Genomic DNA, 14,254 nt, shown 5'->3' with positions numbered 1-14,254 from the left:
GTGATATAAATGAATAAAGGAAGGAGAACTGAAAGGCTTTTCTTGGAATGTAATGCTAACTAATAAATATAAAAGGAATGATCATTAGTGGCTCTTTATAAGATTTCTTATTTACTACATTGGAGAAAACTGGAAGATAATATCTTAATGGTCAAAATTTATATCACTGATATTACAATACATCAAGATCAAGTGCCTCAAGTTATGCTCTCAGAAGGATGCAACATCACTTCTGTGATATTTATGCCAAATATGCATAACCTAATCATGGGGAAATATCAGATAGGCCCAAATTGAGGGATAGTCTACAAAAATAAAAATAAAAATGGCCTGCAGTCTTGAAAAATGTCCAGGTCAAGGAAAACAAAAGGTTTACATTTAAGGAGTCACATGGAATGTGAATTTGGCCATTGCCTTTCATCAAAGGATTTCTAAGAATCTCACAAGCATACTCAGTAATACTCTAAACACTCCTGTGAAGTTGTAGCTGGCAATATTATCATCTCTATTATAGTGTGGAGTAAATGGAAGCACTGAAATACTCAGTGATATTTTTATCTTCCACTCAGAAATTTCTTACTACTTTACAGGCCTGTGTTATTATCAACTTTATGAAGCTTAGTGAGATTATGTGATTTGCCCAACCTTAGGGAAGAATTTGGCATAGCATGAAGGCTCCCTGAGTCTTAACTGCTTTACTAAGTTTATTCTTTACCCCCCATTCTTCCCCTCAGTCCTGTTATTCAAAATTGTATTTAAACTAATGTTTTAAAAGTTCTATAAGAGAAGCTCAAATCATAAAATTTTGTGATTTTCTGAGGTGTCATTCCTGGTTTTTTATTAGGAATCAAATGATAGGGTTTTTTTTTCCTAGAATAATTTCTTTAATACTGTAACTGATGTTAGTCAATAACATTGTGTAATAAAACTCATCTGCTTTTTCTGTTCTGATGAACCAGAGAATCCTATTCAGGATACTACCATATGTTAAGCTAAATAGAAAAGAGGTCAGTCTTAGAGAATAATATAATTATACAAACATAGTTACTCTCTCTATAAAATTGCATGTCAAATGCTTTCTATCTTTTTAAAATTCTCAACAGCAGTATTTCTGGTAGCAACCAGAATTTTGATCCCAGTGAATCTAAACCTAGTATACCTAGAAATATAATATAACTTGTAAATTACGGGCATAGGTGGAAATTTGGGTAAGTTGGAAGTTAGAAGTTACCCACAGAGAGGTTACCTGTAAAAGGGAGGTAATTAGGACACAATAAGTAGATATCCTTTAAAAAAATTATCTATTTTTAAATTGTGCTAAATTATATATAACAAAATTTACTATTTTAATCATTTTTTAGGTGTCCAATTCAGTGACATTAAGAATGTTTACCTTGTTGTGCAACCATCACCACCATTCATTTCTAGAATTTTTTTTCATCTTGTAAAACTGAAAGTCTGTACCCATTAAACAGTAATTTCCCATTCCTCACTCCCTCTAGCCCCTGGCAACCACCATTCTATTTTTTGTCTCCATGAACTTGACTACTCTCCTATGAGTGGAATAATACAATATTTGTCCTTTTGTGACTGGCTTATTTTACTTAGCATAATGTCTTCAAGGTTCATCCATGTTGTAGCACATGTCAAATTTCATTTCTTTTTTTTAAAGCTGAATAAGATTTTGTTTTATATATATATCACATTTTGTTTATCGGTTCATCTGTCAGTGGATATTTGGGTTGCTTTTCTACCTTTTGGCTATTGTGAGCAATGCTGCTGTGAACATTGGTGTACAAATATCTGTTTGTGTCCCAGCTTTCAATTATTTTTGGAAGTGGAATCATGGAATCATATGGTAATTCTATTTTTAATTCTTTGAGGAACTGCCATACTGTTTTCCATAGCTGCTAAACCATTTTACATTCCCACCAGCAGTACACAGGGATTCTAGTTTCTCTACATCCTCACCAACACTTATTTTCTGTTTGTTTTTTTTGTTTTGTTTGGTTTTTTAATAGTAGCCATCCTAATAGGTTGTGAAGTAATATTTCATTGTGGTTCTGATTTGCATTTCCCTAATGATTAGAGATGTTGAGCATCTTTTCATGTGCTTATTGGTCATTAGTATATCACTTTGGAGAAGTGTATATTCAAGTCCTTTGTCCAATTTTGTGTGCCCACTTTTTTAAACCAAGATAGTAGCCACAGGAGCTGCTTATAACTTTACAGAACTACCAGATAGATATCACTTTTGTTAGCTAATACTGGTAACAAAAGAGTAAATATTTTAGGAAAATATCCCATATATCTAATCAAATTTTACCTATTCTTCCTTCATATGTTTCATCCGTCTCTTCTATTCCTACTAACAGTAAAGTAATCAATTTAGTATATTCTCGTCATTGTGTTGTAAAAGAGTGGTTGGGCCCAGTTCTAATATAATATTAAGAATAGATGGTCATAAACTCTGTAGTGGGTTTGCTCTTCTCTTCCCTTCTTTAATTCCCTTCCCCTCAATTCCATAAAGATTTATTATGCACAGGGCCTGAGATCTGAGTTTCTCTCCCTCAAGATGTGTGACAATAGGCAAGTTGCACAAACTGTTTTCCCTATTGGCTGAACTAAGTGATTTCTTAGATTTCTTCTAGTCTTGTCTATTATATCTTTTAAGGATTCTTTTAAGTATTATAACTTTTGGTTATTAGATGTCCGAATTATCTGAATAGTACACTACCCTCAGTAAATAATATTTTTAGATTGTCACCAAACATAAAGTGGGAGATGACAGCCTATTTTAACTCAGCTTACTTTCTTGTTTACTATTTTTTACGTATTTCCTTGGGTTTCTTAGATCAACCTGGGGCCTAATCTGTAAACTTTTTAAAAGCAAACATTTAGTTACTTTGTCTAAGAATTAACCATTGATAACAAAGCAATATTTTGAACAGTTAATATCAGGATGGAATATGTCTCCTTCTAAAAGATACTATTGCATCTTAATAGCATTTAGAAACAAAGGATAAGAAATGCTGTACTGTTTAACTTTAGTTTTTTAATTTCTATTTTCTTTTTCTTTTTTTTTTGAGACAGTTTTGCTCCCGTTGCCCAGGCTAGAGTGCAATGGCACGATTTCCGTTCACTGCAACATCTGCTTCCCGCGTTCAAGCGATTCTCCTGCCTCAGCCTTGGGAGTAGTTGGGATTACAGGCACGCACCACCACGCTAGGCTAATATTTTGTATTTTTAGTACAGACAGGGTTTCACCATGTTAGGCTGGTCTCGAACTCCTGACGTCAGGTGATCCACCCACCTCAGCCTTCCAAAGTACTGAGATTACAGGCACGAGCCACCACGCCTGGTGTAATTTCTATTTTTGAAGCGTTATAAATACCAGAACATCTTACATACCCAAATAGGGCAATATGTATTCCAAAGCTAAATATAAATTTTAAAAAATTATCTGCATTTTAGTTTGTTTGTACCTCTGTTTTCTTCTTGCCTCATTGGGAAATCAGATTAAATTGATATTAAGTAGATTTCTAAAAGCATAAATAATTCTTTAAACCAGTTTAATCTCAAGAAATAATGTTGTGATAGGGTAATGTGGATATAGTAGCAAAATAATCTTTTAGATAGATTAAATTTCTGTACTGTATATTTACTGTTCAATGATTTTCTTAGATTGACCATCTCTTCTATTTTTTCTTATTCCTGTCCTTTGTAAATCAATAGTTACTTACGAATAGTCATTTTCTAAGATCAATACAAACTTTTGGGGGATTTCTGTAATATAACATAGTACAATCTTTTTGCTTTATGCTCTAATTCTTTAATATTTTAATTCTATTTCTATTTCTCAAGAATCAGGAAGATACTTTTAACACTGCATTTGTCACTGAAAAAACTAGTTTTAATTTATATTGACCTTTTTCTCCTTTGAACATTTAGTCTGCATTGAATAAAATGTTGATGACTGCTCTTTAGAAGACAGCTGTATGAAATAAAGTATTATAAATATTCAGCTTCCCTTTCTAAGCATTGTCACCAACAGCTGGGCATCCAGTTTAGCAGAACAGATTTTGCACACAGAGAGCCTGGCATATTCCTGAATCAGTTTAGTGAAGGAAACAAAAAATAGTTTCTTATGGATTGGGGACTTATAAAGACATAGAGCATCTGTTCCTCAGTTAAGTCATAGTCTGGTTGCACTGAATCATGTTTAAAGCTAGAATAATGTGCAAAACTTTTTTTCACCATGCTCATACCTTTAACACCTAGTGCACTGTTTCTGTACTGTACTTTCAACATCTCCACTGAAAGTGTATAAATTATTTTGCTCTTATATATGATATTGTAATAGTGGTATTTTAAAGCAGACAAACATACTAACTTTTATAAGAGTTTTTATAATATAGGACTGATGTTTAAATTGTACGGTAGTCCTTGTATATATAACTGCATATATTTTTTAAAGAAACTCATTTAAATATTTAATTATGATCCCATTTAGAGATATGCAATTAGAATCAAACCTGTCATCATAAATAATTGCTTTCTTCATATGGTATTCTGCTTTAATACATAATATAAAAATTGGTTGGTAGAACTAAGAATCTTTGTTTATATATCTTCCCTTAATTATTGGGCTACTTTAAATAAAGCGTGTCAAATCTAAAATTTCTTTAAATTTTTTGTTTGTAGTGTTAAAAGATCACTGAAGTTGGATGGTCTGTTAGAAGAAAATGTAAGTATTTGCTTAAAAGTTTGTCATTGAATAAGATTGTGTTTTCAGTTTTTAACTACTGATTTATCTCGTTAAATATTAAAATTATCTTGATAATTTTAATTATATCACAGTGTGATATAATTGTGATTGGTACACCATTTTCTGCATATAAGATATTTTAGTTTTTGTGAATCTAATATGTGGAAGTTCCTGGCCAGCTTGAGGTGTTCAGTTAAGAAGCAAATTAATTATTTAAAAACCTTAATGAAATAATTTAGTAGAAATTAATTCACTATTTGTGGAAAAAAATAGTCTGCCACTTAAATGTACAAGAAACAATATGGGACAATGGCAGTACTTTTAATCTGCATACTATAATCTGCTAAAATGAAATGAAAACATTAGTAGCATTTTTATATCAAAAATGTAATTACCTTCCTCAGCTATGCTGGCATGGATTAAACAGCATAATACTAACACCGTAATAAATTGCACCACAGTTATCACAATGAAAATTAAATTGTACTGTTGCCATTACTTTTTGTAAATTGAGTTGTAGCACATTCCCAGTGCCAGCATATCATGACATATGTTAGTTTATTATCTTTTCATACCAACTATGGATCTAGATAGAAACACTAATACTGAGATACTTATGACCTCAGTAATCTTAAATGCAGGTAAATTGGTGAGAAAGTAAATTAAAACAAATAGCTAGTCAATAAGTAGGCTCCTCCAAATTCACATATGAATGCCATTTCAATAAATGGGTTTTATATGGAATTTTTCTTTGGAAGACACGCTGGTATTTAACAAAACAGAAATTTACCATTTAGAAAACTTGCTACATGCTTTTTAAAAATTTTTAAACAAAGGTGGCAAAGTACTGCAATGACACTTAAAAAATCATTAACAGTATAATTAGCAATTTAGAATACCATTATCCAACTTGTTCTGTGCAGAATGCAGCTGTGACTGTAATTCTGCATCTGTTTCTTTGGTCAGAATGGTTTTTTGGTAGATGAGTAGTCCAGCTTGAAATGAAATACTGTTCTTTCCTACCCCAAAGCTGTTCTTTGGGAGATGGTAACATTGTTTAAATGGAAAAGAATGACCGTTTCAGAACCCGTTCTCTTCATGAAGTAAATTGTCATCATGGCAGGCCTTCTTTGTATTTTTTCTTCAGATGAAGATGTGTCAAGGTAGCCAGTGCCACAGCTGACATCCTGTATTAGAAAAATACATTGTTATGTTTGGCCCAGTTCTGTACCTTTCAACAGAACTTAAATTGATTTAAGCTTGTACCAACTGATTTAGTAGTACCAGTTGATTTAGCTTGGTACTACATGACCACATCTGCCCGAAGGAGGTTCCTAGCATACTAGCTTGGGCATTTCTATTTCCTGACCAGTTTCTGGTATTTTCAGCTTTGTCCTCTTGCCTTATCATTTGTTTGAAGCTCTGTATTTACATCTTAGAGCTAACAGCTTTTGTTCTGTTCTGGTGTTAAGTCTGGGCTTCTCTCCATGGCTACATACACACTTCATCTACTCTAGTAACAACTTAGCCCTGAAGCAACCTGGCTCCCAATTATATACTCACATGGCCTATGGCCCCATTGAGGCTGCCTTAGCCCATGCAAAAGGAAATTGGACATTCAAAATATATACCTACAATTTTAGGAGTACTTAATTGTTGTGAAGCTATATTGGAACTAGTAGTAACTTTGTGGTCATTTTACCTTACCAATATGTTGCTGAAGGGGGAAGGCTCTGGTTTCTAAGGGAAAGAGATGGCCCTTATATGCCAGTTGGTTGAAGTGGAGCCTGTTCATCCTAAGCAATGGCCATATCCAGAGATATTTGGAACTCCTAACTCCCAGTGTTCCTAATGCAGCTACAGATCTTCATGGAGATTAATGCTTCATGATGTTTGGGCAAGGTTCAAATGCCATTTGCTTATGGCTCTTGATATGGTTTCCTGTGTCCTCACCCAAATCTCATCTTAAATTGTACTCCCGTAATTCCCACCTGTTGTGGGAGGGACCCAGTGGGAGATAATTTGGATCATGGGGGTGGTTTCTCCCATACTGTCCTCGTGGTAGTGAATAAGGCTCACTAGACCTGATGGTTTTATCAGGGGTTTCCACTTTTGCATCTTGCTTATTTTCTCTTGCCACTGCCAATTAAGAAGTGCCTTTTGGGCAGGGGTTGCAATCCTAGTCTCTGATAAAACAGACTTTAAACCAACAAAGATCAAAAGAGACAAAGAAGGTCATTACATAATGGTAAAGGGATCAATTCAACAAGAAGAGCTAACTATCCTAAATATATATGCACCCAATACAGGAGCACCCACATTCATAAAGCAAGTCCTTAGAGACCTAGAAAGAGACTTAGACTCCCACACAATAAAAATGGGAGACTTTAACAACCCACTGTCAACATTAGACAGATCAACGAGACAGAAAGTTAACAAGGATATCCAGGAATTGAACTCAGTTCTGCACCAGGCGGACCTAATAGACATCTACAGAACTCTCCACCCCAAATCAACAGAATATACATTCTTCTCAGCACCACACCACACTTATTCCAAAATTGACCACATAGTTGGAAGTAAAGCACTCCTCAGCAAATGTAAAAGAACAGAAATTATAACAAACTGTCTGTCAGACCACAGTGCAATCAAACTAGAACTCAGGATTAAGAAACTCACTCAAAACCGCTCAACTACATGGAAACTGAACAACCTGCTCCTGAATGACTACTGGGTATATAATGAAATGAAGGCAGAAATAAAGATGTTCTTTGAAACCAACGAGAACAAAGATACAACATACCAGAATCTCTGGGACACATTCAAAGCAGTGTGTAGAGGGAAATTTATAGCACTAAATGCCCACAAGAGAAAGCAGGAAAGATCTAAAATTGACACCCCCTAACATCACAATTAAAAGAACTAGAGAAGCAAGAGCAAACACATTCAAAAGCTAGCAGAAGGCAAGAAATACCTAAGATCAGAGCAGAACTGAAGGAAATAGAGACACAAAAAACCCTTCAAAAAATCAATGAATCCAGTAGCTGGTTTTTTGAGAAGATCAACAAAATTGATGGACTGCTAGCAAGACTAATAAAGAAGAAAAGAGAGAAGAATCAAATAGATGCAATAAAAAATGATAAAGGGGATATCACCACCGATCCCACAGAAATACAAACTACCATCAGAGAATACTATAAACACCTCTACGCAAATAAACTAGAAAATCTAGAAGAAATGGATAAATTCCTCGACACATACACCCTCCCAAGACTAAACCAGGAAGAATTTGAACCTCCGAATAGACCAATAACAGGCTGTGAAATTGAGGCAATAATTATTAGCTTACCAACCAAAAAAAGTCCAGGACCAGATGGATTCACAGCCGAATTCTACCAGAGGTACAAGGAGGAGCTGGTGCCATTCCTTCTGAAACTATTCCAATCAATAGAAAAAGAGGGAATCCTCCCTGATGCATTTTATGAGCCCAGCATCATCCTGATACCAAAGCCTGGCAGAGACACAGCAAAAAAAGAGAATTTTAGACCAATATCCCTGATGAACATCGATGCAAAAATCCTCAATAAAATACTGGCAAACCGAATCCAGCAGCACATCAAAAAGCTTATCCACCATGATCAAGTGGGCCTCATCCCTGGGATGCAAGGCTGGTTCAACATATGCAAATCAATAAATGTAATCCAGCATATAAACAGAACCAACGACAAAAACCACATGATTATCTCAATAGATGTGGAAAAGGCCTTTGACAAAATTCAACAACCTTCATGCTAAAAACTCTCAATAAATTAGGTATCGATGGGACGTATCTCAAAATAATAAGAGCTATCTATGACAAACCCACAGCCAATATCACACTGAATGGGCAAAAACTGTGAACATTCCCTTTGAAAACTGGCACAAGGCAAGGATGCCCTCTCTCACCACTCCTATTCAACATAGTGTTGGAAGTTCTGGCCAGGGCAATCAGGCAGGAGAAGGAAATAAAGGGTATTCAGTTAGGAAAAAAGGAAGTCAAACTGTCCCTGTTTGCAGATGACATGATTGTATATCTAGAAAACCCCATCGTCTCAGCCCAAAATCTCCTTAAGCTGATAGGCAACTTCAGCAAAGTCTCAGGATACAAAATCAATGTACAAAAATCACAAGCATTCTTATACACCAATAACAGACAAACAGAGCCAAATCATGAGTGAACTCCCATTCACAATTGCTTCAAAGAGAATAAAATACCTAGGAATCCAACTTACAAGGGATGTGAAGGACCTCTTTAAGGAGAACTACAAACCACTGCTCAATGAAATAAAAGAGGATACAAAGAAATGGAAGAACATTCCATGCTCATGGGTAGGAAGAATCAATATTGTGAAAATGGCCATACTGCCCAAGGTAATTTATAGATTCAATGCCATCCCCATCAAGCTACCAATGACTTTCTTCACAGAATTGGAAAAAACTACTTTAAAGTTCATATGGAACCAAAAAAGAGCCTGCATCGCCAAGTCAATCCTAAGCCAAAAGAACAAAGCCAGAGGCATCACGCTACCTGACTTCAAACTATACTACAAGGCTACAGTAACCAAAACAGCATGGTACTGGTACCAAAAGAGAGGTATAGACCAATTGAACAGAACAGAGCCCTCAGAAATAATGCTGCATATCTACAACCATCTGATCTTTGACAAACCTGACAAAAACGAGAAATGGGGAAACGATTCCCTATTTAATAAATGGTGCTGGGAAAACTGGCTAGCCATACGTAGAAAGCTGAAACTGGATCCCTTCCTTACACCTTATAAAAAAATTAATTCAAGATGGATTAAAGACTTAAATGTTAGACCTAAAACCATAAAAACCCTAGAAGAAAACCTAGGCAATACCATTCAGGACATAGGCATGGGCAAGGACTTCATGTCTAAAACACCAAAAGCAATGGGCAACAAAAGACAAAATTGACAAATGGGATCTAATTAAACTAAAGAGCTTCTGCACAGCAGAAGAAACTACCATCAGAGTGAACAGGCAACCTACAGAATGGGAGAAAATTTTTGCAATCTACTCATCTGACAAAGGGCTAATATCCAGAATCTACAATGAACTCAAACAAATTTACAAGAAAAAAACAACCCCATCAAAAAGTGGGCAAAGGATATGAACAGACACTTCTCAAAAGAAGACATTTATGCAGCCAAAAGACACATGAAAAAATGCTCATCATCACTGGCCATCAGAGAAATGCAAATCAAAACCACAATGAGATATCATCTCACACCAGTTAGAATGGCAATCATTAAAAAGTCAGGAAACAACAGGTGCTGGAGAGGATGTGGAGAAATAGGAACACTTTTACAGTGTTGGTGGGACTGTAAACTAGTTCAACCATTGTGGAAGTCAGTGTGGCGATTCCTCAGGGATCTAGAACTAGAAATACCATTTGACCCAGCAATCCCATTACTGGGTATATACCCCAAAGGATTATAAATCATGCTGCTATAAAGACACATGCACACGTATGTTTATTGCAGCACTATTCACAATAGCAAAGACTTGGAACCAAGCCAAATGTCCAACAACGATAGACTGGATTAAGAAAATGTGTCACATATGCACCATGGAATACTATGCAGCCATAAAAAATGATGAGTTCATGTCCTTTGTAGGGACATGGATGAAGCTGGAAACCATCATTCTCAGCAAATATCGCAAGGACAAAAAACCAAACACCGCGTGTTCTCACTCGTAGGTGGGAATTGAACAACGAGAACACATGGACACAGTAAGGGGAACATCACACACCAGGGCCTGTTGTGGGGTGGGGGGAGGGGAGAGGGATAGCATTAGGAGATATACCTAATGTTAAATGACGAGTTAATGGTTGCAGCACATCAACACGGCACATGTATACATATGTAACTAACCTGCACGTTGTGCACATGTACCCTAAAACTTAAAGTATTAAAAAAAAAAAAAAAGAAGTGCCTTTTGCCTCCCGCCATGATTCTGAGGCCTTCCCAGCCTTGTGGAACTGTAAGTGCAATTAAACCTCTTTTTCCTCCCAGTCTCAGGTATGTCTTTATCAGCAGCATGAAAACAGACTAATATACCTCTTCTAATGAGGGAAGCAGAGATATGGACCATACCCTGTGTTCTTCCTATAATATACGGGATGTATACTGCCAGTACCACAATTTGCTAAACCTCACAAATTGTTGGGTGTTGTAAGGAGGTGAAGAAAGTTCCAATTTATAATCATCTACTGTATTTGGCCTGCTTGAGTTGTTGCTCTCCAAGCATTGTTCCTAGGTAGATTTTCAGGAATGAAGATGAATTATATATTACAAACTGTTGCCGATGGCAGTCCAGATGAATTTATATGGACAACTGGCTACCTGGCCATATACCAAGCCAGCTTGACCCAGTCTTTTTCAGGACACTTCAGAGAGAGAATAGAAGATGCTACGGTTGGGAAGAGAAGAGCATACTTCTTACCAAGGCCAGCTCAATAGGCTTCCTGCCAGAGGAGTAGTGGTGCAGGTTTTGTTGGGGAGGTTTGCTGATTTATATATAGATATCCAGTCAAGGGTACTCCATAACTTATTAGTAAGACACTTTTTTTTTTTTTTCGAGACAGGGCCTCACTCTGTTGCCCAGGCTGGAGTACATTGTTATGATCACAGCTCACTGCAGCCTCAACCTTCTGGGCTCAAGCAATCGTCTTACCTCAGCCTCCAGGGTAGCTGGGACTACAGGCACAGGCCTCTATGCCCAGCTAATTTTTTGTATCTATTTTTTTTTTAGTTTTGCCATGTTGTCCAGGCTGGTCTCAAACTCCCGAGCTCAAGCAATCTGCCCATCTCGGCCTCCTAGAGTGCTGGGATTACAGGTGTGAGCCACCATGCCTGGCAGTAAGACACTTCTAAGTCAGATTATTCCCATTGCCTAACTTAATCTCTCCAATCCTAGAACATTTCTCTCACCCCAAAAGGAAACCCCATACCTATTAGCAGTTAGTCTCAATTTCCTCCTCTCCCCCTCCCCCTGGAAACCACTAATCTACTTTCTGTCTGTGTAGATCTTCTTCTGACCATTTCATATAAATGGAGTCTCATAATTTTGTGTCTGGCTTCTTTCATTTAGCATAACATTTTCAAGATTCAATTTACCTGTTTCTTTCTTTGATTGTCCTTTTGATGTCATATCCGAGAAACATGTAACCCATGGAAACACAGGTTTTTATCTACGTTTCTAAGAGTTTTATAGTATTAACTCTTTCATTTAGGTCTTCCATTTTGAGTTAATTTTTGTACATGGTTCAAGGTAGGGACTGGATTCATTATTTTGCATGTGTATAACCAGTTACTGAAACAGATATCCACATGTAAAAAAATGAATCTAGTCCCTACCATTTGCTGAAACGACTATTTTTTCCTTTATTGAACAGCCTTGGCACCTTTGTTAAAAATCAAGTGATCATAAATGTATGCATTTATTTCAGAATTCCCAGATAAATTCCATTTGTCTATCTATATATATGTGTTTATGCCACTACCATGCGGTCTTCATTACTGTAAGTTTCTAAGATTAAAAAACGTTTTGATTGTAAGTTTGAAATCAGGAAGTATGAGTCCTTCAACTTTGTTGTTCTTTTTCAAGATTGATTTGGCTATTCTGTATCCTTTGTAATTCCATATGAATTTTGGGATCAGTTAGTCCACTTCTGGAAAAAAAAAGGCATTGGAATTTTGATAAGGATTACATCAAATTTGCAGATTCAGTTGGGAAATTTGCAATCTTAACAATAATAGTAAGTCATCCAAACCATGAATGTGAGATATATTTCTGTTTATTTAGATCTCGCTTATTATCTTTCAATAATGTTTCATAGTTTTCAGTATACAAGTCTTATAGTTTTCTGATTAAATTTATTCCTAAGTATTTTATTCTTTTTATGCTATTAATGGAATTGCTTTATAATTTCATTTTTAGATTAGTCACTGCTAATGTATAGAAATACAACTGATTTTTACATATGGATCATATATCCTGCAGCTTTGCTGAACCCATTTATTAGCATTAATAATTTGGAGATTTTCTTTTTTTTTTGTTTTGAGACAGAGTCTTGCTCTTTTGCCCAGGCTGGAGTGCAATGGCGCGATCCCAGCTCACTGCAACCTCCGCCTCCTGGGTTCAAGCAGTTCTCCTGCCTCGGCCTTCCAAGTACCTGGGACTACAGGTGCACACAACCACGCCCAGCTAAATTTTGTATTTTTAGTAGAGACAGGGTTTCACCACATTGGCCAGGCTGGCCTCGAACTCCTGACCTCAGGTGATCCGCCCGTCTGGGCCTCCCAAAGTGCTGGGATTACAGGCGTGAGTCACAGCCCCCCCGCCCTACTTAGGGTATTCTATATATAAGATCAGGTCATCTGCAAGTAGGGATAGTTTTACTTCTTCTTTTGCAATCTACGCCTTTTATTTCTTTTTCGTGCCCATTGCTTTGGCCAGAACCTCCTGAAAAATATTAAGTAGAAGTGGCAAGAGCAGACATTCTTTTCTTGTACCTGATCTTAGAGGGAAAGAATCCAGTCTTTCATCATTAAGTATGATGTTAGCTCTGAGTTTTTCATACATGTCTTTTATCAGATTGAGAAAATTCTGTTCTATTCCTAGTCTGTTGAGTGTTTTTATCATGAAAGGATGTTAGATTTTTGTCAGTTACTTTTCCTGCATAATTGAGATGATCATGTGTGCTTTTTTCTTTTATTCTCTTAATATAGTGTATTACATTGATTGATATTTGTATGTTGAACCAACCTTGCTTTCCTTGCATAAATTCTGCTTGGCTATGACATATAATTCTTTTATGCTGCTGATTTCAATTTGCCAGGATTTTTACATCTGTATTTATAAGGGATTTGGGTCTGTAATGTTCTGGTATCAGGATAATACTGGCTTCAAAGAATTAGGAAGTGTTTCCTCATATTTTTGGAGAGTTTGAGAATACTTGGTGTCACTTCTTTAAATATTAGTAGAAAGGCTGGGCGCAGTGGCTCACACCTGTAATCCCAGCACTTTGGGAGGCCCAGGCAGGTGGATCACCTGAGGCCGGGAGTTCGAGACCAGCCTGACCAACATGGAGAAACCCCCTTCTCTACTAAAAAATACAAAATTAGCCAGGCATGGTGGCACATGCCTGTAATCCCAGCTGAGGCAGGAGAATTGCTTGAACCCGGGATACGGAGGTTGCGGTGAGCCGAGATCGCGCCATTGCCCTCCAGCCTGGGCAACAAGAGTGAAACTACATCTCAAGAAAAAAAAAAAAAAAAAAACGCTAGTGGAATTCACTTGTGAAGCTACCTGGTCCTGGGCTTTTCTTTGTTGTAAATTTTTTGAATATTAACTCTTATGTCTTTACATGCTGTTGATTTATTAAGATTTTCCTGTTCTCCATAATTCAATCCTGGT

The 14,254-nt window shown here is 36.5% G+C and overlaps 1 protein-coding gene and 1 long non-coding RNA gene across 16 annotated transcripts in view; one reads left to right on the top strand and one right to left on the bottom strand.

The window, feature by feature from the left end:
• Window positions 1–14,254, top strand: part of ITGB3BP (integrin subunit beta 3 binding protein) — an 88,418-nt gene that overhangs the window by 15,913 nt on the left and 58,251 nt on the right. For 10 of the 15 annotated variants that reach the window (NR_045147.2, XR_007058557.1, NM_001347145.2 and 7 more), the window contains exon 2: window positions 4,705–4,747. The exons of 4 other annotated variants lie outside the window; for them this stretch is intronic. Coding sequence is in view for 8 of the 11 variants with exons in the window: in NM_001347145.2 (NP_001334074.1) it covers window positions 4,705–4,747 (43 nt within the window). In the remaining 3 variants the exon portion in view is untranslated. Of the gene's footprint in view, window positions 1–3,093; window positions 3,211–4,704; window positions 4,748–14,254 lie in introns of all 15 variants that reach the window. One more of the 15 variants, NM_001206739.2, reaches the window with a different exon arrangement.
• Window positions 1–14,254, bottom strand: part of LOC102724319 (uncharacterized) — a 29,842-nt gene that overhangs the window by 4,520 nt on the left and 11,068 nt on the right. The window contains exon 2 of the long non-coding RNA XR_426701.4: window positions 5,668–5,955. This is a non-coding gene — a long non-coding RNA (uncharacterized LOC102724319). The remainder of the gene's footprint in view (window positions 1–5,667; window positions 5,956–14,254) is intronic.

The sequence above is a fragment of the Homo sapiens genome, chromosome 1, assembly GCF_000001405.40.
Source record: "Homo sapiens chromosome 1, GRCh38.p14 Primary Assembly".
Lineage (NCBI taxonomy): Eukaryota > Metazoa > Chordata > Mammalia > Primates > Hominidae > Homo > Homo sapiens.
The sequence above is the reverse complement of the archived record's forward strand: the minus strand, read 5'-3'. Positions and strand labels throughout refer to the sequence as shown.